This window comes from Homo sapiens, chromosome 13 (genome assembly GCF_000001405.40).
Source record: "Homo sapiens chromosome 13, GRCh38.p14 Primary Assembly".
NCBI lineage: Eukaryota > Metazoa > Chordata > Mammalia > Primates > Hominidae > Homo > Homo sapiens.
The window spans coordinates 36,697,882-36,718,770 of record NC_000013.11 but is presented as its reverse complement, the minus strand read 5'-3'; the positions used below and the strand labels follow the sequence as shown (position 1 = coordinate 36,718,770).

General features: G+C 41.1%; 1 long non-coding RNA gene across 4 annotated transcripts in view; it reads left to right on the top strand.

Moving 5' to 3' along the window:
- LOC102723490 (uncharacterized) overlaps positions 1 to 20,889 on the top strand; it is a 113,878-nt gene that overhangs the window by 70,452 nt on the left and 22,537 nt on the right. For 2 of the 4 annotated variants that reach the window (XR_001749825.2, XR_001749828.2), the window contains exons 4-6: positions 12,062 to 13,540; positions 15,741 to 17,311; positions 18,751 to 18,847. This is a non-coding gene — a long non-coding RNA (uncharacterized LOC102723490). Of the gene's footprint in view, positions 1 to 12,061; positions 13,541 to 15,740; positions 17,312 to 18,750; positions 18,848 to 20,328; positions 20,485 to 20,889 lie in introns of all 4 variants that reach the window. The other 2 variants (XR_007063757.1, XR_001749824.2) reach the window with 2 other exon arrangements.

Below are 20,889 nucleotides of genomic sequence, written 5' to 3'. Positions count from 1 at the left end.
CTGAAAGGATTTTAAGCACTGAAAGGATTTTAAGCAAACAAATACTGGATTTGTTTTTAGAAAGTTCAGGCTGGAGGTCATATCGAAGATGGATAAGAGGAGACTATGGTGGAAAAGAATACTATAAGGAACCTAGAGAGACCAATTTGAGGTTATTAGTAAATTCAGGCAAGAAACGAGGAATACCTGAAAAAGTTGGGGGCAGTGGTAATAGAGAGGTAATAGAAGCACATTCAGGAGCTATTTAGGTGGTTCCTGTTGATGGCTCAAACTCTCTGGCCAGCAACCCATTTCCTCATCCATTCCATTCTCTCCGTTCCCTGTGGTTAGAATCCCAGACAAACTCTTCCACTTCAAAAGCTCAGCCTACATGAATCAATCTGCCTATCTTTGGTGATATTACTCAAGCAGCTGCTCAGGAACCACCAGCCTCCTGTGGCCTTTTATACAAATCATCCCACTGAGCCTCTGCTGTGTGCTAGGCATTGTGCAGAATATACAAACATGAGTAAGACGTAGCACTCACCATGAGCAATTTGAGTGAGAAAGGAAGACAGTTCCATTGATAAAGTCTGTAAAGCACATTATGACAAGGGCACTGAGTCATGGAAAGTGGATGCTCAATAAAGTGTTTGATTCCTTGAACTCACAAAGAATTAAACACAAACTGCTGGAATATAAAGAAGGGATGTTAAACTCTGCCAGGGGAGCTGGGGAAGGCTTCACTGAGCGAAGTTTGAACTGGGTCTTAAAGGATGAATATGTGGTTTGCCAGGAAGTGCACAGACAGCATTCAATTAAGATGAACTAGTAATGGCAATAGAGACATGCATAGTCAGCTGTGAAATTATTTTTCTTTCTTGAAATCTAGCTTAGGTCCACAGCTATATTCTGTTACCTAAATTCTGGCTGATTAGGCAGGAAGGAAATGATTTCATTCTGAAGGCAGAGACATAAATAATCACAGAAAACCAAAAATATAAATGCTATTTATTTCTAGTTCTTCTGTTAATGTATAATTAACATTTAGAGTAAAAAATCTCAGGGGAAGCTAATTCTAATATTTGAAATGATTGACAAAAGGGATTTTTGAGGGTCTAGGAAAGGTCTGGATCTTCTGTAAGCATCTGAGGAACAGGGTTTTAAGAGTTAAACCAAGAATTCCCAGTTCCATTTCTGTGTACATCAGCCACCATGTCGCTCCTCAATGAGTCAAAAGTATTGAAACAGACACTAAATGTAAGTAGCCCTGAAATGGTGCCATTTGAAATCATAAAAAGGTTTTCAAGCAATGTGAATATGTGATCTTGGTCCCGGCTAGCAGATGACATAAAGGAGCTGAGGATGACCAAAGGAAGCTTAGTTTCCATAGCCATAAGCTCCCCCATCAATTACTCTCTTTAGCTTCTTATCACATTTCAAATAGGACACAGATTTGAAACCAACTGCACATATCTGAGAAAGCAGCGAAAACCCGCCAGAGGCTAACATTAAAATTTGGTTAACACTGAATGAATTTATAGAAGCTTCTCTCTGACTCAACCAGTAAAGATCTGCATTTGCTAAAGAGGTAATGTGAGAATTGGGTTTGTAGTAAGAATGTTAATACCTGGCTCCCCAGCTGCAGACATTCAACTAGAGATAGATCCCTGTGGCCTCAGGGCAAGAAGACAGGTAGGGGCTCTACAATCAAGGGCCCAGTAAGTATGTATGCCTACTATTGGCTTTGCCTTTCCCTAGTTATAGAGGGAATGTAGAAATAAGTCTAAGATATATTTCCAAGGGAGCCCCCACAAACAAAATACAATTAAGTGTATCCTTGTTTGGACTGTCTGCCTCAGGCAGAAAGATTCCTCTCTTTCTGCCAGTGTCACCAGCAGGGAACTCCTCAGAGAGTGGGGCTTAACCTGGCCCTGGAGAGACAGGCAAGGAGTTGGGAAAGGGGTGTTGTGGGGAGGCACTCCCACTGGTGGAGGAATGGAGACAGGCCAGGGTAGGCAGTGGGGCAGAGATGAGAATGGCCCTGTGCAGAAAGGAGGTGGTTCTATCCAGGAGGAGGGTGACTTGGAGGGCAGGAGTGTGAACAAGTAGGAATGGAGCCAAATTCTGAAGGTCTTCAAAGCTGCCTGAAGGGAGACTTGACCTGGAAGGCAACAGGAGCCATTGCATGTTCTTGAACATGGCTTCAAAATGGAAAATCACTTATGTGCTCAGAAGTTGTATCTGCCAGCGTGGCTCAGCATGGATCACATATGGGAGACAGCAATGTGGAGATTGTAGCAGTTTTCCAAGTTGTTTCAGTCATTCAATCCCAGTTGTCCATGTGGCAACAATGGGAATGGGGAGGAAAGGAAATTACTTTATCATGTTTTATTATCCAAACTTCATTCCTTGAGGAAAACATTGGGGTTGGGAGGAGTTTGGAGAAAATTGGTGTCCCCTTAGGAATCTAGGACAAGAGCTACACAAGTTTACCCATTGAACAATGGGAGAAGCTGCCATGATTCTCCAGTGTTCCATAACCCATAGGGGCAGTCAGATCATTTGAAAATGGCTGGCTTTGTATTTCTGTCAGTGGAGGGCTAGACAGGCAGCCACATGATCTTTCAACTGGAGTATGGAAGCCTGCATGTGGAAATGCAGACTTTCCAAGTCAGGGAAGAAAATGCAAATGCAGAGGGAACTGAGACAGTCAGCATTTCTGTGACAGAGGTCACTGACTCTGGCACAGGCTCTGCTCTTATCTGGGAGCCAGGGTCACAGTGCTGCCTCGGATGGCATTTGGAGAACACAAATGGAAAAGATAAACCCTCCTGAGCCATTTCTCAATTCTCCACACATTTACATTTCTTTTGACATAGCCTATGAGATTCTAGGCTTGTCTGATTATCTTTTTAAAAGAGTTTCTTAACATTTTACCTCTTTTTCTCCTATGGTCTCTTTGCTCATCCGTTGGATTAGTACCAAGTTAGAAAGGCAAATTTCTAGACTTCATTCTTATTTGTATGCATCTTATATTTTATTTATCCATAAATATTCATGGATAAATCCTATATTATAGTAGCATGAGAATCTCCATCAGATTTGAAAATAACCTAATTTCCACAATGCTCAATAACCAGTTTCCTTTGTCAAATGTAATATTAAACTATCAACAGCAAAGGGCTTATGCCATTCATAATTAAAAATCAAGAGAAGGCCATTTTAGCATGTCTACTAAAAATCATTGAATCATTGTTGGTGACCAAAGTCCAACTTAGTTTACTGGACTTAAGTTTTTCAATAAAACCTTCTAACCATGAAATTAAGGAACATGGATGAGTTATAATGCTCTGAGCAGAATTCATTGATTTGGTTCACAAACATGAGTGTCTCCTCTATTCTGAGCAGAATGCTTGGTGTTGGTGACTCTAGTTTCAAAGGAAGAGGTGAACCTCCTCTTGTCCAGCGCTGAGGTCACCATCCTTGCTCTGGATTTTATTTCCTCCCCTCTTCTCTAGGACCTCACATCTTTAAGCATTAGTTGATTAAGTCATTAATTCAGTCATTCAACAAGCATTTCTGAGACTATGGATAGCCCTATTCTAGATCTAGAAGACAAGGCTGGCCTGATGTGCTAGGTGGAGCTTGCCGTCTAGAGGGAGAAGATGGCCCCCTTCCTGTTCATCTCTTGCCTCTGCATGCCATGGGCTACCTCCTAGGTCATAACACAACCCAGGCCTTCCCATATTAACAGCAAAATTCAATAATTCAATGCAAGCCTCCTCTGACACCTGCTCCTCTTTTGTAGCTTTTACTCCATGATGCTATGTTCTCCTGCTTCTTATTAGTCTTTTTGGTGGATTCCTCTTCTTTATGTTTTTTTTTTTTTTTGAGACAGGGTCTCATTCTGTCACACAGGCTGGAGTGCAGAGGCATGATCTTGGCTCCCTACAGCCTCAACTTCCTAGGCTCAAGCTATCCTTCCATCTCCTCCTCTCAAGGTAGCTGGGACTACATGCACACACCTCCCTGCGTGTCTAATTTTTGTATTTTTCTGTAAGGACGTCTTGCAATGTTGCCCCCAGGCTGGTATCCAATTCCTGGCCTGAAGTGATCCCCCTGCCTTGGCCTTCCAAAATGCAGGGATTACAGGTGTGAGCCATCATGTCCAGCCTATGTACCGCTTAAGTACTGTTTTCTTAAAAGCCACAGAGTTCAATCCTCAGCCTTTTTTCTTTTGGATTTGTACATAATCCCAAAGGATCTCATTCGTGCCTTCAGCTTTGGCTCTCTTCTGACCTCCAGACCCATTTATCCAGCTGTCTAAAGCACATCTTCTCAGGAATAACTTAGATGTCAAAACCAGAATCTTTAAACTCATGCTGTCCAACAAAGCAAAGCCCCTTCTCACTTTCCTATTTGTTCTCACTGTACTTATCACATGGGCAACCTCCTTCTCTGGCTAGTGCAGCTCTTATCGCATTGCTCTGCAGCAAGTTACAAGCTGTGTGATCTTGGGGAATGTATCCCTCTGAACCTCTGTTTCTTTCTCTGGAAGAGAGAGATAATAATCCAAACCACATGGGATTTTCGTGGAGATTCAGTGAAATGTATATATCATCTCATATAGTGCCTGACACACAGCAGACATCCTGCACATGTTTGTTTCTTCTTCTTTTTCTTTTCTACTTCTCCTTCTGCCCCCAACCAGACTGTGAGTAACCTGAGGACAGAGTCTGTGCTTTCCTAATACTCAATGCTGAGTAATTGTTAGTGAATCACAGAACCTATAGAACTACAGGACCTATAATAGCAGACATTCCAGATATGTATTTAAAATTCTTTGAAGCTGCTAATCTTTCAGTTTCTGTATTCAGTCTCTAACGAGGTGCAAAGAAGTAAAAATTTAGGATAAACTCTATACTGTGATTACAATAAATATTCATTAAGCTATTTACAAAAAGTCCGTCTTCATACACATTAGGAACAGATCATGTATACACCCTGTATTAGCACATTCAGGGCACAATCTGAAACCTGCACTTCTAAAATTCACCAAAGTTCTCAGTCTGCATATTGTGTGAGCTAAAGGATTTCATGTTCTTGGTCTTTTACTTTTGCTTAATTTTAAAAATGTATAATGGATACAATAATTGTACATATTTACAGGATACAATGTGATATTTTGACGTGTGTATGCATAATATAATGATCAAATTGGGGTAATTACCATATCCGCCACTTTAAACATTTCTCATTTCTTCTAGCTATCTTAAAATATTCACTGCATTGTTATTTGCTATAGTGGTTAACAGAGGCTGGGGAGGGTGGAGGGAGGGAACCAGAAGAGTTTGGTCAATGGGTACAAAGTTACAGTTAAACAGGAAGAATAAGTTTTGGTGTCCTCATGTCTCTAATTTTAACAGAGTTTTATATTTTTATCAAATTTGCATTACACTGGATGCCAAGGTATAAGTTATTTTTGATAAAATACATCTTTATTCTGTGGGGGGAAACTGGAGCACCGAGGACTAATAACATGCTTCCTTCACTAGAAATTACTTGTAGTTTAGCATTCACTATGACAACGTGGCTGAGCATGGTTGAATTGTGATCTTGCCTTGAGAAAAAAGATTCTAGCTACTTGCAGTTTATAAGCAGGTACCTTCTGACTATGCAGAGATCTGTTCAATGTTTCTCTAATTTAATTGCCACGTAGTATGCGGTGGTTCATTGTGTTCAGTCTGCTTTGAGCAAAAAGGTCTAACTCATTTACAGGCTGCTGAGTCATAGGGGCTCCTTCAACAAGGAGAAAGTGGTTCCAGAAGAGAATTAGTAACAGCTGGGGGCTGCACAGTCCACAGTAAGGGCATGGGGTGGAGAGCACAGTACTCCCACTCCTGCCTCACAAGAAGCTGAAAGGAACGGGTCCAAAGCCTGGGGCAGCCAGAGATCGGGACCTGCAAACACTGAAAGAGGCTGTGCTGAGCTTTACGCAGTACATGACTTGGAAAAAACATTTAAACTAAGATTTTTTTTTTCTGTTTTCATTTGTTTTATGGGACATTGTGTAGCTTATAGACAAACATTTAAAAGTGAAAATTCTTTTGTTAATTTAAATGGATTCCTTATGGAAACACTGATGCACATGAGGAAATTTTACTTCTATTTTTCTTAGGTTATCACTCATTCATGTGTGGACTTTTTATTGAGGGGGTTTCATGTGCTTCACACTGGGCTGCGAGATAGCCTGCAGCCTTGCTTGCAGGAGCTCAGAGTACCATGCGGGAGGGGAGACAGATGAATCACTCCAGGGGTGAGTGCTGCATTTTCCATTAACAGCAGGTGATAGGAAACCTGTAGGAGATACCCTGCCTGGAAATATCACAGATGATTCCCTGGAGAAATTGATGTCTCAGTGAAAAGCACGGATGTGTATGATCTAGCCAGGCATTAGGGATGAGGGAGGAATTGGTGTCCCAGACAAAGACAGCAGTGTATATAAAGATGGGTGTGGGTGTGTTGAAGGAAGTTAGGAGAGTGGTAAGATATGAAGTATTGAGGGGTGGTGCCCCAAGGCCTTGGACCCACTGGAGAAATTTTATCTTTATTCTTAGCTCAATGGAAAGCCACTGAATGATGGCACATGATGGGTCAGATTTTCTTTTTAGAGAAATGTCTTTGGCTGTAGATTGGAGATTGGATTGCAGGAAGATGAGCTTAGAAGCTAGAAAACCAGTTAAGGATCCTAGCTGTGTGGCCTGAAACAGGGCAGTGATATTAGGGAGAGGTGTGTGAATTCACGAACTCTAGGGAGGCCTGAAGGTGAGGATGTTGTGGTTGTTTGAATGGAGGTGAGGCAGTCGGTGGAGGCACGTGTGAGCAGAGTCAGCAAGAGAAGGAGAAGGTTGCGGGCATCATGGCAGGAAGATGAGGAACTTAGTTTCGGATGTGCTGAGTTTGGGGCAGAAGGTAGTTAGATTGTAAGTCGGCAGAGAGTCAACAGCATGTGGATGGAAATGAGGCCATGGGAGTGGACATGATTATGTGAAGTGAAAAAAAAGATAGCCAAGGACAAGTATCTGGGGAACATGGACATTTAAAAGAAGAATTGTAGGCCAGGAGCAGAGGCTTAGGCCTATAATCCCAGCACTTTGGGAGCCCAAGGTGGGTGGATCACCTGAGGTCAGGAGTTCAAGATCAGCCTGGCCAACATGGTGAAACCCCGTCTTTACAAAAATACAAAAAAAAAAAGTTAGCTGGGCATGGTGGCGGGCACCTGTAATCCAAGCTACTCAGGAGGCTGAGACAGGAGAATCGCTTGAACCTGGGAGTTGGAGATTGCAGTGAGCCAATTTCATGCCTCTGCACACCAGCCTGGGCAACAGAGAAAGACTCCATCTCAAAAAAAATAATAACAAAAATAAAAGAAGAGTTGAGAAAAAAGATGCAGAGAAAGGTATTGGAAAGGAATGGCCAGAGGAATACCAGAGAAGTATGGGGTCTTTGAAAGCTAGGGGAAGAACACGTTTTGATGAGGGAATATTCAACAGTGTGTTAAGTGCTGCAGGGAGTTCAGACAAGGAAAGGACAGAAGCGACGTCCTTCAAAGAACACAGCAATTTCAGTCGCAGTTGTGTGTGTGTGAGTATGTGTTTGTGTGTGCCAGTGTGTGTGTGTGCATAGCAGAAACCAGACTGCAGTAAGTAAAGGAGCAAACACAGACTGAGGAAGTGTAGGCAACTTATTCAGAAAATCGACATGACAAGAAAGGAGAGAGTGATGGCTGAGGTCCCCGCTGCTTTGGACATTGGCATTGGCTCACTCAAGTGCCTTCCTAAAGACCCGCCTTTATAAACCAGACTATTTCCCCCTGTAACTGCTCTGGCTGTTTTTGGTGACTTTGGTCTCTCCCCAATTCCTGAACCCTGTTCCTAAGGTCTTGACAGTCTCCCTACTTGCTCTCTCTCCCCCAGCTCAAGTTAGAACCATGGAGGTTTATGTAGAGAAAAAAGTGTATTATAAGGAAATAAACACCTGTAAAAATGCTATCCTTTGCCGGGTGCAGTGGCTCATGCCTGTAATCAAAGCACTTTGGGAGGCCAAGGTGGGAGGATTGCTTGAGCCCAGGAGTTCAAAACCAGCCTGGCAACATAATGAGATCCCATCTCTACAAAAAATGCAAAATTAGCTGTGTGTGGTAACACATGCCTGTGATCTCAGCTACTTGGGAGGCTGAGGCAGGAGGATTGCTTGAGCCCAGAAGGTTGCGGCTTAGCGAGCTGTGATCACATCACTGCACTTCAGCCTGAGCGACAGAGTAAGACTCAGTTTCAAAACAAAATAAAAATGCTATTCTTCATACACAATGACCACATTACCCATCTAAATTATTGCATCAAATTTGAGATACTAAATGTGGCATTCATATAGGAAAAAAGAACAGTGTCAAGATTACAGTAAAATAATCCCACATATTGTAGTTATATTTTGGAACAGAGGTAGTAAGAAAAAGCTATTCCATCACCAATGCAAAACTGATCATTCTAAATGATTTTGAAAAATTTATATCTGATAGTTAGCTCTGTCACAAATCATTTCAACATGCATATTGATTTCACAAATGAATTTCCTCCTTCAGCACTTTCTCATGACAATGTAATTGAAAATCAAATCCTATGGAGAGACTTTTATAGATTGGAGTATGAATGTCTCTAAGACCTTAGCTTTGCTGGGATTACTGGTCAAGACAGTTTGAAGTAGCCAGGGTGCAGAAGAATAAGCCAGCAGGCATTGCTGACTCTGAACACAGCCTAGAACTTGTTCCTGGAAGAAAAGTTGAAGACACCAGGGGAAATTTTGGAGAAGAGGAACTTTGGGACTTTGGGGCTAATGAAGCATAACATCAGAAGGAAGGGGTAGAGTGCAACAAATTATTCTCATAAGTCAAAGGGAGCCCAAACCAGGAGGCAGCCAAACCTTTAAAGGGGAAAAAAAGAATTCAGACAGAACTGTGGATTTCATACAGCCTTGTAAACAGTGTGGGATAAATTGTCTGCAGGGTCACTGAAGCAGAGAGTACAAACAAGCTTGAAATACTTCCATATTTATATAGAACAGTTGATTGAGAGCTGCAAGAGCATAGTCAGAGAGAGGTTTAAAGTTTCAAAGAGGCTGAGTTCACTGAACCAAATAAGATCCTTTTTCCTGTTCAGCATTTTTTGTGTGTGTGTTCTTTGGCTTATTACCACTTTCCTCATGTCCCCATGAATATTTTCATGGCATATAGTATATAGTATGCCCTGCTTTACTAAACAACTACTCAATTCAAAAACTCAGTGACCCAATTTGTTACATGTCTTGCAGTCTCACTTCTTTCCACTGACTTTTCTAAGCAAAAGAATATTTGCTATAGCTGGCATGATGCAACAGACACATGGAAAACTCCTCAGATGATCCTCAGAAAGTCAAGTTGCTTGTATTGATTTTTCAGATGGTGCCAGTAAAATCACTGTGAGTCAGTTCTCCTCTCAAGTTTAAGGATTCGAATGCTGTCCTCCTCAGGGAGTGGAAGGAATTTGTTTCTTCCTGCTTGGTCTGTCTTGTACTCCCTCATTCATCCTACAAACATCACAAAGCCATCATATGTTTCAAAAACTGGAAAAGCAGTACTTCAAAGGGACCACTTATATGCTGCTGGTGGGAATGCAATTTAGTACAACCTTTATGGAAAACTCTAAGGAGATTTCTCAAAGAACTAAAAGTAGATCTACCATTCCATCTAGCAATCCCACTACTGGGTATCTACCCAAAGGAAAAGACATCATTATACAAAAAAGACAACTGTGCTTGTATGTTTATTGCAGCACAATTTACAAATGCAAAGATGTGGAGTCAACCTAAATGTCCATCAATTGATGAGCTGATAAAGAAAATGTGGTGTATATAAACCATGTAATAATGCTTCTCAGCCATAAAGAAGAATAAAATAATGTCTTCTGCAGTAACTTGCTTGGAACTGGGGGCCATTAATCTAAGTAAAGTAACTCAGGAATGGAAAACCAAATACCACATGTCTTCACTTACAAATGGGAGCTAAGATATGGGTATGCAAAGTCATACAGAGAGCAGTAATGCACACTGGAGACTCAGAAGGGGGAAAGATGGGAGGTGAGGGATGAAACATCACCTATTGGATACAATGTACACTACTCGGGCAAAGGGTACACCCAAAGCCCAGACTTCACTGCTAAACAATTCATCCATGGAAACAAAAGCCACTTGTACCACTAAAGCTGTTGAGATTTAAATAATAATAATAATGATACTAATAAATATTATGCCCTCTACTTTAAAATAAACTTGTTGAGAATGATGGTTTCCAGCTTCATCCGTGTCCCTACAAAGGACATGAACTCATTATTTTTTATGGCTTCATAGTATTCCATGGTGTATATGTGCCACATTTTCTTAATCCAGTCTATCATTGTTGGACATTTGGGTTGGTTCCAAGTCTTTGCTATTGTGAACAGTGCCACAATAAACATACGTGTGCATGTGTCTTTATAGCAGCATGATTTATAATCCTTTGGGTATATACCCAGTAATGGGATGGCTGGGTCAAATGGTATTTCTACTTCTAGATCCCTGAGGAATTGCCACACTGACTTCCACAATGGTTGAACTAGTTTACAGTCCCACCAACTGTGTAAAAGTGTTCCTATTTCTCCACATCCTCTCCAGCACCTGTTGTTTCCTGACTTTTTAATGATCGCCATTCTAACTGGTGTGAGATGGTATCTCATTGTGGTTTTGATTTGCATTTCTCTGATGGCCAGTGATGATGAGCATTTTTTCATGTGTTTTTTGGCTGCATAAATGTCTTCTTTTGAGAAGTGTCTGTTCATATCCTTTGCCCACTTTTTGATGGGGTTGTTTGTTTTTTTCTTGTAAATTTGTTTGAGTTCATTGTAGATTCTGGATACTAGCCCTTTGTCAGATGAGTAGATTGCAAAAATTTTCTCCCATTCTGTAGGTTGCCTGTTCACTCTGATGGTAGTTTCTTTTGCAAGGACAAAAAACCAAACACCGCGTGTTCTCACTCATAGGTGGGAATGAACAATGAGAACACATGGACACAGGAAGGGGAACATCACACACTGGGGCCTGTTGTGGAGTGGGGGGAGTGGGGAGGGATAGCATTAGGAGATACACCTAATGTTAAATGACGAGTTAATGGGTGCAGCACACCAACATGGCACACGTATACATATGTAACAAACCTGCACGTTGTGCACATGTACCCTAAAACTTAAAGTATAATAAAAAATAAATAAACTTGTGAAGCAGAAGATCATGTCATTCTCTTGTTTAGGAGGGCTCAGCAGCAACCCCCAGCCACACGATAATGCTCAAATCTAACGTGGCCTAAAAGGGAGTCCTGGATGGCTGAGTCCTGGCTCACCCTGGCTGCCACCACTGCCTGGAAGCGCCCTAATGAGTGTTTTGTCATCCTGGGATCATCAGCAGGAAACACACCCTCAGATCTGCAGAGATGGAAGTGCAGCCTTCTCAGGCAGGGCCGCTGTCCTTCATCCTGGGTTTTCAGTTCCCCCTCCCCACCCCCTTAAAGTGCTGCATACAGTATCTAGCTACAAGCTTTGAGATTCTGTTCAACCACCAGAACACTGGGAATTAAGATGCTGCACTAGGAGTGAAAGGTGGGGCACTTTGAAGGTGGTTCTGCACTGATCTGTTTCCCTGCTTTTGCATTGTGTGCTGAGAATATGGAATGCCCAGTGATTCCTTGCACATCCTAAGCATTCTCAGCCTGCATGCCTTTGGACTTGCTATTGCTACTGGAATGCTTTCTTTGGCACTCATCTATATGGTCAAGAGCTGGCTCAAGCATCCCCAACTTAGGAGCAAACTTCTTCCTCTGTCTCTGCCATACCTCATACTTACTTCCAGTAGAGCTAGTTTTCCGACTAGAAAATTCTAATAGCAGTTTATTTTGCTTCTAGCCATTTAGCTGAGGCTGAGTTGGCAGGACATTAAAGTATTTATTCATTCCAATTAGGTGAAAAAAACTCATCTAAACCTTTGGACTTGGAATTGCCCACATAGACCACATCAGCAATGGAAGACAGAGCAAATAACATGTCGGTTCAATGTATGAAGGAGCTTTTCTTTCCCCTGCCCCAACCCTCAGACAGGTAAATCTGTGAAAGCTCTATTTTGATTCTTTTTAAATTATTTGTTTTACATGTTTTGTGTTTTATGTTGGCTGATTCCAAATGGTTGAAATAGTGGAGGTCCAACAACCATTTTCACAGTGTAATCTTCAGAAGTTCATCCTTTGGGTTGTAATTTCATGATAAGGAGGAGCAAGAAGATGCTTTTTGTAACTCAAATAGCATCTTCTGAGAAAGGTCTCTATTTTCACTTGTGTCTTAACTTACAACTGTGTTCAACTCTATTTCCTTTCCTTGCTTTACATTTTTTCTTATGCACCTATAATTATCCAATTTACTATATATTTTATATTTGTCTGTTATTGTCTGTTTTCTCCACTAAAACATAAACTTCTTGCAGGATTTTTGTCTGTTTTTCTCACTGTTGAATCCCAAAAGCAAAGAAGAATACCTAGCATAGAGTTAGTGTTCAAGAAACATTTGCTAAATGGATGAACACCTCTTCATTTTATGAGAAATGAATCTTCCCCAAGAAGGGGCTCCCGGGTGCATCTTGTGTGTAGACATCTCTATGTCCCCAGGCTGCTGTAGAGCTGAGTCATCTTTGTGCCCACACCTGGGAAGCAGGACCCTTGTTCGTGTTTCTTTGGCCTTGGGCATGTCAGTGAGTAAGGAGGATGTGTGGGATCTGTGTCCATATTTACGTAAGAAAGCAATATAGCCTACTGCCCCTTTCATTTTCAGCAAGTGTGTGTTTACACTGGCCTGGGATCTACTATAAAGTTTAATGTTTGGTTATACATTTATTTCTCAGCTACTTTTGTGAATAAACATTTTCTAAAACATATCTATTTTAAAAGTGACAATGTTTGAATGAAAGAAAGAGGAGGAGTGAAGCCTGGTAGTTAATTTGCAGAACTTAGAGCCTGAATTTTTTGGGTTGGATCTTTGATTTTACCATTCATTAGTTTTGTGATCTTCCTCAATTTCCCAATCTGTAAAATGGAAATAATAATAGTACCTACCTCATGGGATGTCAAGAGTAAATATAAAAAATGTGTGACACCCAGGAATGACTATATAAGTACTAGCAGTTAATATTATTTATTATTATTATTCCTGCTTGAATAATCACTTTGAGCTAAATCACTTTGTTTTTACTACTAGCAATAAGCATGCTTAAATACTTTTAATGTTATTATAATTTGTATTATAGTAGACTAATCTGGAATTTTATTAAGCAGAATTCCCTCTAGACAGGCATCTATGCATACGGAGCAAAAAATGATGTATATAATAATAAGTTTGAGGCACTGAAAGATCTTGAATGAGCTTCTGAATCATCAGTTACTGTATCTTTGGGGGTGAGTGAATTTTATTACAAAGAAACTTTTTTTTTTTTTTAAATTTGGTAATCCTTAAGTAACAATGTGCAAATTTCTTTCAAGAAGTGCTGTTGAATGCTAGGGATGAGTAGTGTGATGACTACTCCAAATTAAGACAATAAGGCCAGTTTGACAATCAGCAATGTGCTATGCAGCTGAACTGGAGGCACAGTGGTGCTGGTGAATTGGGCCAGCTCTGGAGAATTTGAACATATAGACAGAGGGCATGATGTCTGACTTCTCCAGGCACTATTGCATCCCAGTCCGACTTTCCTAGGATCACTTCAAGTTTGATCATAACCCCAAATCCCTCAGCACCTTCATTATCACTCATAAGCCACAGGGCGCTTGCTGGCAGCCCTTGTTTCTGATCTGTTTCTCCACCACTGTTACTTGTATTATGGCACATGACTCTGTTCCCAACACCCTCAGGCCTTGGGAAGGGGATAGGCTGAAATAAGTAGATATTGCTGTTGAAAGAAACAATTTCAATGAGGTCTCCCCCCACGCATCCTTGCTGAGGTCGTGGCGAGACATAGATGGAGGGTAGGCAAAAGCAGGAAGATGACAGCAGAGCAGTAAGGGCTCAGCAAACGAGAGACTAGGGCAGGTGTGTGAAGAAGGGAGAATGGAAGAGGAATTGGATGCATGAAGGCAGAGAAAGTAGGTGGTGGGCAGAAATAATGGGAAAATGTGAATCTTCAGAAGTCAAAATTTAATGATGTTTGCTTAACATTTGCATATATGATACTACTCCCCAAGTATGTGAACTAGACAGTTTACATATAAGGCAGGAAAATAGGGTCTGGAGGCAGGGAACATAAGGCCAATTCACACTTCAGCTATGACAGAAAATATCTTCTCCATAGGGCATAGTTGCTAGGGCCACTCAGAGAGAGAGAATCCTGAAACCTAGCATACCAGCTAAAGGGTAAGAATTTCTTACTAGCCAGTCTCTGGCCTCTTTCTCTCTGTGCAAACTGGCTAATCTCCATTGTAAAGTTTTAAATTAATTGGTTTAATAATAATAAGAGCTTAAATCAAATATTTCATCAGGAAAGTAGAAAGCGTAATGCCTTTTAGTTCACGTGACTTTAGCAATTTTTGGGAAATAAAGAGGGTTTTAAAGATTATTGGTAAAATACAATGTCTTTAAAATGGAAACATGTGGTCTAAATTATGTTCCAATATTAGGTTTGCTGAATGCTTTAAGGTCATAAACTGCTTATTTGGCTTTTGAAAATTGTTTAACTTGCCTGCTTTCCAGCTAGGTAAGGCCTGGGAACATGTGGAGTTGGCCATGCCCCTAGCTATGCTGCAAACAGTCAAACCTTTTCAGAACATAACTTACCAGGTTTTACATTAAAGTTAAAATTGCTAAGAGTCACCATTGTAACATGCAATTAAGACTACTAGAAACGGTTTTACATGCACGGTGTGTAAGAATAGTAGAATGTATGTCTCTGTGTGTGTTTTGTAAAAGGTTTTTACTTCTTTAAAATTTCTGAGTCATTATTTTGGCAAAATAAATAATCTGGAATTCCAAAATCAAACTTCAGTTTCAAAATTGTCTTTCCTAATGCCTGGCTTTCTGGATGGATCAGAGGGCCCCTGAAAACATCCAGAAAGGAGGTAAACAGGATTATTTGATGTGTTTAGGTACATGGGATTGCCAAAATGATGTTCCGTGTTCTTTAAGTTTTTTTTGTGAATAATACTAATATATGTTCCAAAATTGTATGGGATTCCTAAAATAGTACATGCTATCAATTATAATTATGGGTATTATGTTAAGTTATTGTAAACCACACAAATAACCAAATTTCCTTGTATAAAGCTACTAACCCAAGTAGAACAAAAATTAATTAAATACCAATAAAATACTTTGTCAGACTTTCATGTTAAACCAGCTGATACTGAAATTTTTAAGATAGTTTATAACCAATGCTTGGTCCCATATTCCTGGGAAGACAATTAAAGCTTCATGTACATTTGGTCACCTTGTGGGCCATTTAAACATTTTATAAAGGGATTTCATTCAATTGTTATTTCCAATGCATGCTTTCTGGTTGTATAAAAGCTTTCCCACGTGAGAGGGCTGATGTTATCACAGTAGATTATTATGCTACAGTGTATTTGCACCAGGTAAAAAAGCTTTTTATGGTTTGAATCTTCTGAGAACACCAGAGAAAGACTCTCCTTACCATCCTCACTGCAACTAAACTTCGGGACCCTGGGCTTTGGGTTCATGGTCTCGCCACTGAAAAGGTTCCCTCCACACTTTTGGAATTGTGCACCCATTGGAACCCTTGAGGTAAAGCTAACCAGAGAAATTTCTCCCAAGAAGAAGAAGATGGCATCCTTGAAGTGAACAGCTTTTCCCAAGTTCACAGAGTAAGACTTCTACTATCATGAAACTCTTATCTTTGAATATTTTTTCTTGCTTATATCTCTACTAACAATAGAAGTGGAAAAAGGGTCTGTTATGTGCACTTATGGGGTATACTTTTATTTGTGAAGAAGTTTGCAGCCAGCCTTATACATGGATAACCTTCTACTTTGATAGAGATGAAGGCCCAATGCAGGTAAGAAACTTTAGTGGTACATATGTTGCCCCATAATCACTCAAAAACAAAATATTGGTTCATCCCTCTTAACCCACATCATGGGTTAAAGAGAACATTGCCAGGGGGTCTTCACTCTCCTAGAAGGGCATCATTTGTTAAGTCCTTTTTCCATGGCTTAAAGTAAAGGAAGCAATGATTAGAAATGTATCCCTCATGATAGGCTCTATAGCAAATCTACTTTAAAGGCTATCGTTACACAACAGATTTTAAATTCTCTTTGAAAGTTATGCTAAATAGAATTGGCTAAACAAAGAAGTTCTTCTGCAGCTGCTGACACTTGCGGCCTATGGAGAAACAGGTCAAATGCAGATTATAAAAATTCAGTGTAGGGGATTAATGAAAAGACCACTTAGTCAAGTGAGTAGACTCTTCATCTAGCTCATTCTTTAAACTATTTAAGTGTAGGTGGTTTGGTTTCTAGGGACCCTGGTTAAGGAGCATACTCTGAACTCTGGGTATTTTCCTTCCAGTAGTGATAATAGTAGTCTCCTTGGTGCACTGTATTCTCTCAAAGGTTTTAAATGCTTGCATGCAGCCATCTCTAGAACATCAAATGGTCTCTCTTCGACTGGAATGACAACAGCTGAAAGAAATGTTCAACCATGAGGACACCATACCTATAAATGATGTGCTGAGACTGGAAACCCAAAATGTTGGTAACTGAGAAGTGGCACTAAGGCCCTAAGTTTTGGTTGCACACTCACCTAAGTGAGAACCTGACCAAAAAGGGGGGATTTTTAAAACAAAACTCTGTGAGGCCATTGTTTTGGACTAAGCTCATGCACTCATGCCCTGGGCCCCAACAGACTAAAGCAAACACAGATGGAGTCATTTGTGCTAAGACTTTAAGGAAACGCTTGGATTCCACAACAGACTAGCTTTTGTTTTTTTCTTCTGCAAATCTCTATAACAAACATTTCTGACAACATAGGTATCCACCCCCTGAAGTTCCCATTAAATCTTTTAACCAAATTCATTTCCTCTCACCTAGAGACCATCAAGCTTCAGATGATGATGCAACAAAGGTTTCAGCCAGTTCCAGGTGAAGACACCACCCTTGGACATCAAGAAGCTACCCTGCCTCCACTAGATAGAGCAGGGAGAGTTCTGTGATCCCCAATAGGTAAGGACTATGCCCCAAGCCAGCATGAAGCAGTTACCAAAAAAGATCATCGGTCCCTCTGCCTCCCATAAAGATTTATGGGATCACATCTCTCAGGGAGGAGATGAGGCAGGAAAATACGGTCTGGAGGCAGGAAACATAAGGACAATTCACACTTCAGCTATGACAGGAAATATCCTCTCCATAGGGCATAGGCCAAGTAAATGACTTTGCAACTTTACTTCATCCTCTTCATTTATGTAGTATGTGTCCCAATCCTCTAGAGGATATTGAAACTCCCAAAATTCTAAATAGTGTGGACTTGGAGCCCCTATGCTCAGGCCCGCTCCCACACTATGGAGTGTACTTTCCTTTACAATAAAACCCTCCATTTCTTCCTTGCTTTGTTTGTGCATTTTGTCCAATTCTTTGTTCAAGACTCCAAGAACCTGGACACCCTCCACTGTTAACACAAATAGTTTCTTAATTCTCACAACATTGTAAGGAGGTTATTATTCTCTTCTAGTTACCAATATCTGGAGTCTCAGAAGGTTGCCTAAGGTTGTAGAGTTAACATTTAGGTCTTGGTCTGAATCCAAATTCTATGTCTTATGGCATGTAGTGTTAGCTAAACAGGGCAGATAGATAACCAAGGAGAAACCACCCAAAAATGTTAACTCTCCACAAGAGCCTGGAATCATAGGAATGAGCCATATAGTGCATCAAGAATAATAGCTGTTTTGAGAATTGAATTTTAAAAAATTTTAAAAGGAGCAACAATTTTAAATGCTTCAACTTTGCTGCAGTATTAGAGTTTCATTACAATATTAGTCACATATCATGTTAAAAGTACTGGAATAATAGTTACATGGACTGAAACATGATTGAAATACTTTAAACAAGGGCCAAATGGGGACACATTAGGTGAGGAGAGAAGAATCTGAGAAGGTGTGTGTGTGTGTGTGTGTGCGTGCGTGTGTGTATGAGAGAGAGAGAAAGAGAGACAGACAGACAGAGACAGAGAGACCAGGAGAGGGAGAGAGGGAGGTGAGAGCGTGGTTGAAACGGGAGGAGGAGGGAGGGGTGTGTGTGGCAACACTCATTCTCAGCTCAGGCCGTTTCCATGGCTAGAAGATGAGCAGATATTTGTAGCTGGGAGAACAACTCACCACCCACTCCCATACCCCACCCAGGGTGGATCTGAATAGGACTTTTTGTCCATCTCTGGTTTATTTTCTACAAAGCATCTACAGTCATCTTTCTGAAACAAAAATTCAATTATATAACTTACCTGTTTAAAATCCTTCAATGGATTCTTGTCACCCTCCGAATAAAATCCAAGTTACTACTTTAACCTACCAGTTCCTACATAGTCTGTCCTGCCCACCTCTCTAGACTCATGCTCTGGATCCCAGTACTCTGACTTTTCTGTTCACAAGCCTAGCCTTTCTCTGCCACAGGGCCTTTGTAGACGCTATCCCTTTGTGGAGAAGACTCTCAACACCCTTCAAATACTATGATCTCATCAGGAAGGCCCTCCCTGACCACCTATGCCTGGTGAGTTTCCCTTGTTGCTTATTATTTCACAGTTTTATTCTCTTCACAGTGCTAATGGCAATTGCAATTATACATATTGTTTGTTCATTTGTTTTTATATCTTCCTTACTAGATTATAAGCTCCGTGAGGGCAGGAACTATATCTGTCTGTTTTATCTAGTGCCAAAGGATGTATTCATTTATTTTATTTTATTATTTTAATTCTTATTTTAAATTCTGAGGTACACGTGCAGGATGTGCAGGTTTGTTAGATAGGTAAGGAATCAACCCAAATGCCCATCAATAATAGACTGTATAAAGAAAATGTGGTACGTATACACCATGGAATACTATGCAGCTATAAAAAGGAATGAGATCGTGTCCTTTGCCGGGACATGGATGGAGCTGGAAGCCATTATCCTCAGTAAACTAACACAGGAACAGAAAACCAAACACCACTTCTATTCATTTATTTAATAAATTCCCATTGATAATAATGTCTTATTACAGTGTCCAGGGTGGCAAACACCCTAACCCAGAGTGGACCCAATCCAACATAAAGAAAAGCTATACTTGCAATGGTTTGATGAGGTCTCTGCATAGTCAGAAGTGACTACAGGGGCTAGTGAGCACTGTTGCTATGAAAAGCAGTATTAGTAGGAAATGTTTCTTACTAAGTGGTAGATGTTTAGGCATGGTTTTGAATGAGAAGGTTGAGTGAGAGGGAGTTACTGTGCTCAGCTCATCACTGAAGGCAGGGGGAAATTGAAGTAAGTGGACTTTGAAAACTGAGGTGCTGTCTTCGAACACTGGGGATGATGGTTTGTTCTTGGATGGTGTATGTGTGGGTGAAGGAGAGCGTATGTCTGAGTTAATGTGTGTGTGTGTATGTGTGTTCATGCACACAAATGCATGCTTGGGCTGGCTGGATAACCAGGAAGCAAGAGAAGCACAGTTGTCCTCTCACTGATGGAGAGATACTGCAGAGAGCTGGTCCTGGGAGATCCAGAGCCTACCGTGAACTCCTCTGCTACAGACCTCCCTCCAGGACTCCATCCATACCACACCCATCCTCACACAGCCTGGGAGTATTCTCTCTTGAATAACTCAGACTCTCTGAAGTCTTAGGTCCAGGGTGTTGGACTGATAGGAACGTATCCCAGGGGACTTTCTAACAGAGAGTCGGAGAGTGGGACCTGGCATTAGATTGAAGTGGCAGCCTCTCTCAGACGGGTGGGAGGCTGACTTCAAGACAGGGGAGCAAGGATAGAAACTGGTGCTTCTCCTAGATAATGTTTTCCTAGTTATGCTGTTGTTTTCCTTTGGACTGTGGGAATAGTCTTACTTAGTACTCAATGTAAAATATTTTCTCTCATCTTATAAATCCTGTCAGCTACCCCCAGTCCTCTAACCTAGTCTGTTATATGCATATCATCTTGTGGGGAATTAAGAGACAGGACAAGAAAGACATGTGACTTTTTGCACTTCCCTCTTCCACCAAGTTTATTACAATAGCAGCAGCAGCAGCAGCTTTCCATTGAGGAGAAGGGTGGCTGGATTCAGACTGGAGCAGGAAAGTAGGTCCCAGTGGGGATTTTGAGCTGTGCAGGGGATGCTCAGCTGGGAGCAACTGCAGTTACAAGGGCAGTGGCCGAGAGGTAAGACCCCTGTCCTCTGCAAATACGTAAGCACAATATATGTGATCCTTCCTCTGCCAGTTTCCCCGCTGATCATCAGCATCACCTGAAGTCCTTGTTAAAAATATCCAGAAATACTCTGGCTCCACTCCTGAAGGTCTGGGGTGTGGCGTGGGATCCTCTATATTGTCGAAGCACCCAGATCGTTCTTCTCATCTGGGAAATGTGGGACTCACTGTCGCAGAAGGAGGTGATCCTTGCAGGGCTGGGGAGAGGCTGACATTTGGGTCACACATTACTGACCCTGCTTCAGACAGAACGTACAGAAAAGGAGTGATATATTTATATGTAAATATATGTCTATACGTCTCTGTGTGTGTGTGGTGTATGCTTAAAACTCTTAGGAAAAGCTTCTTCTCTAGAAGA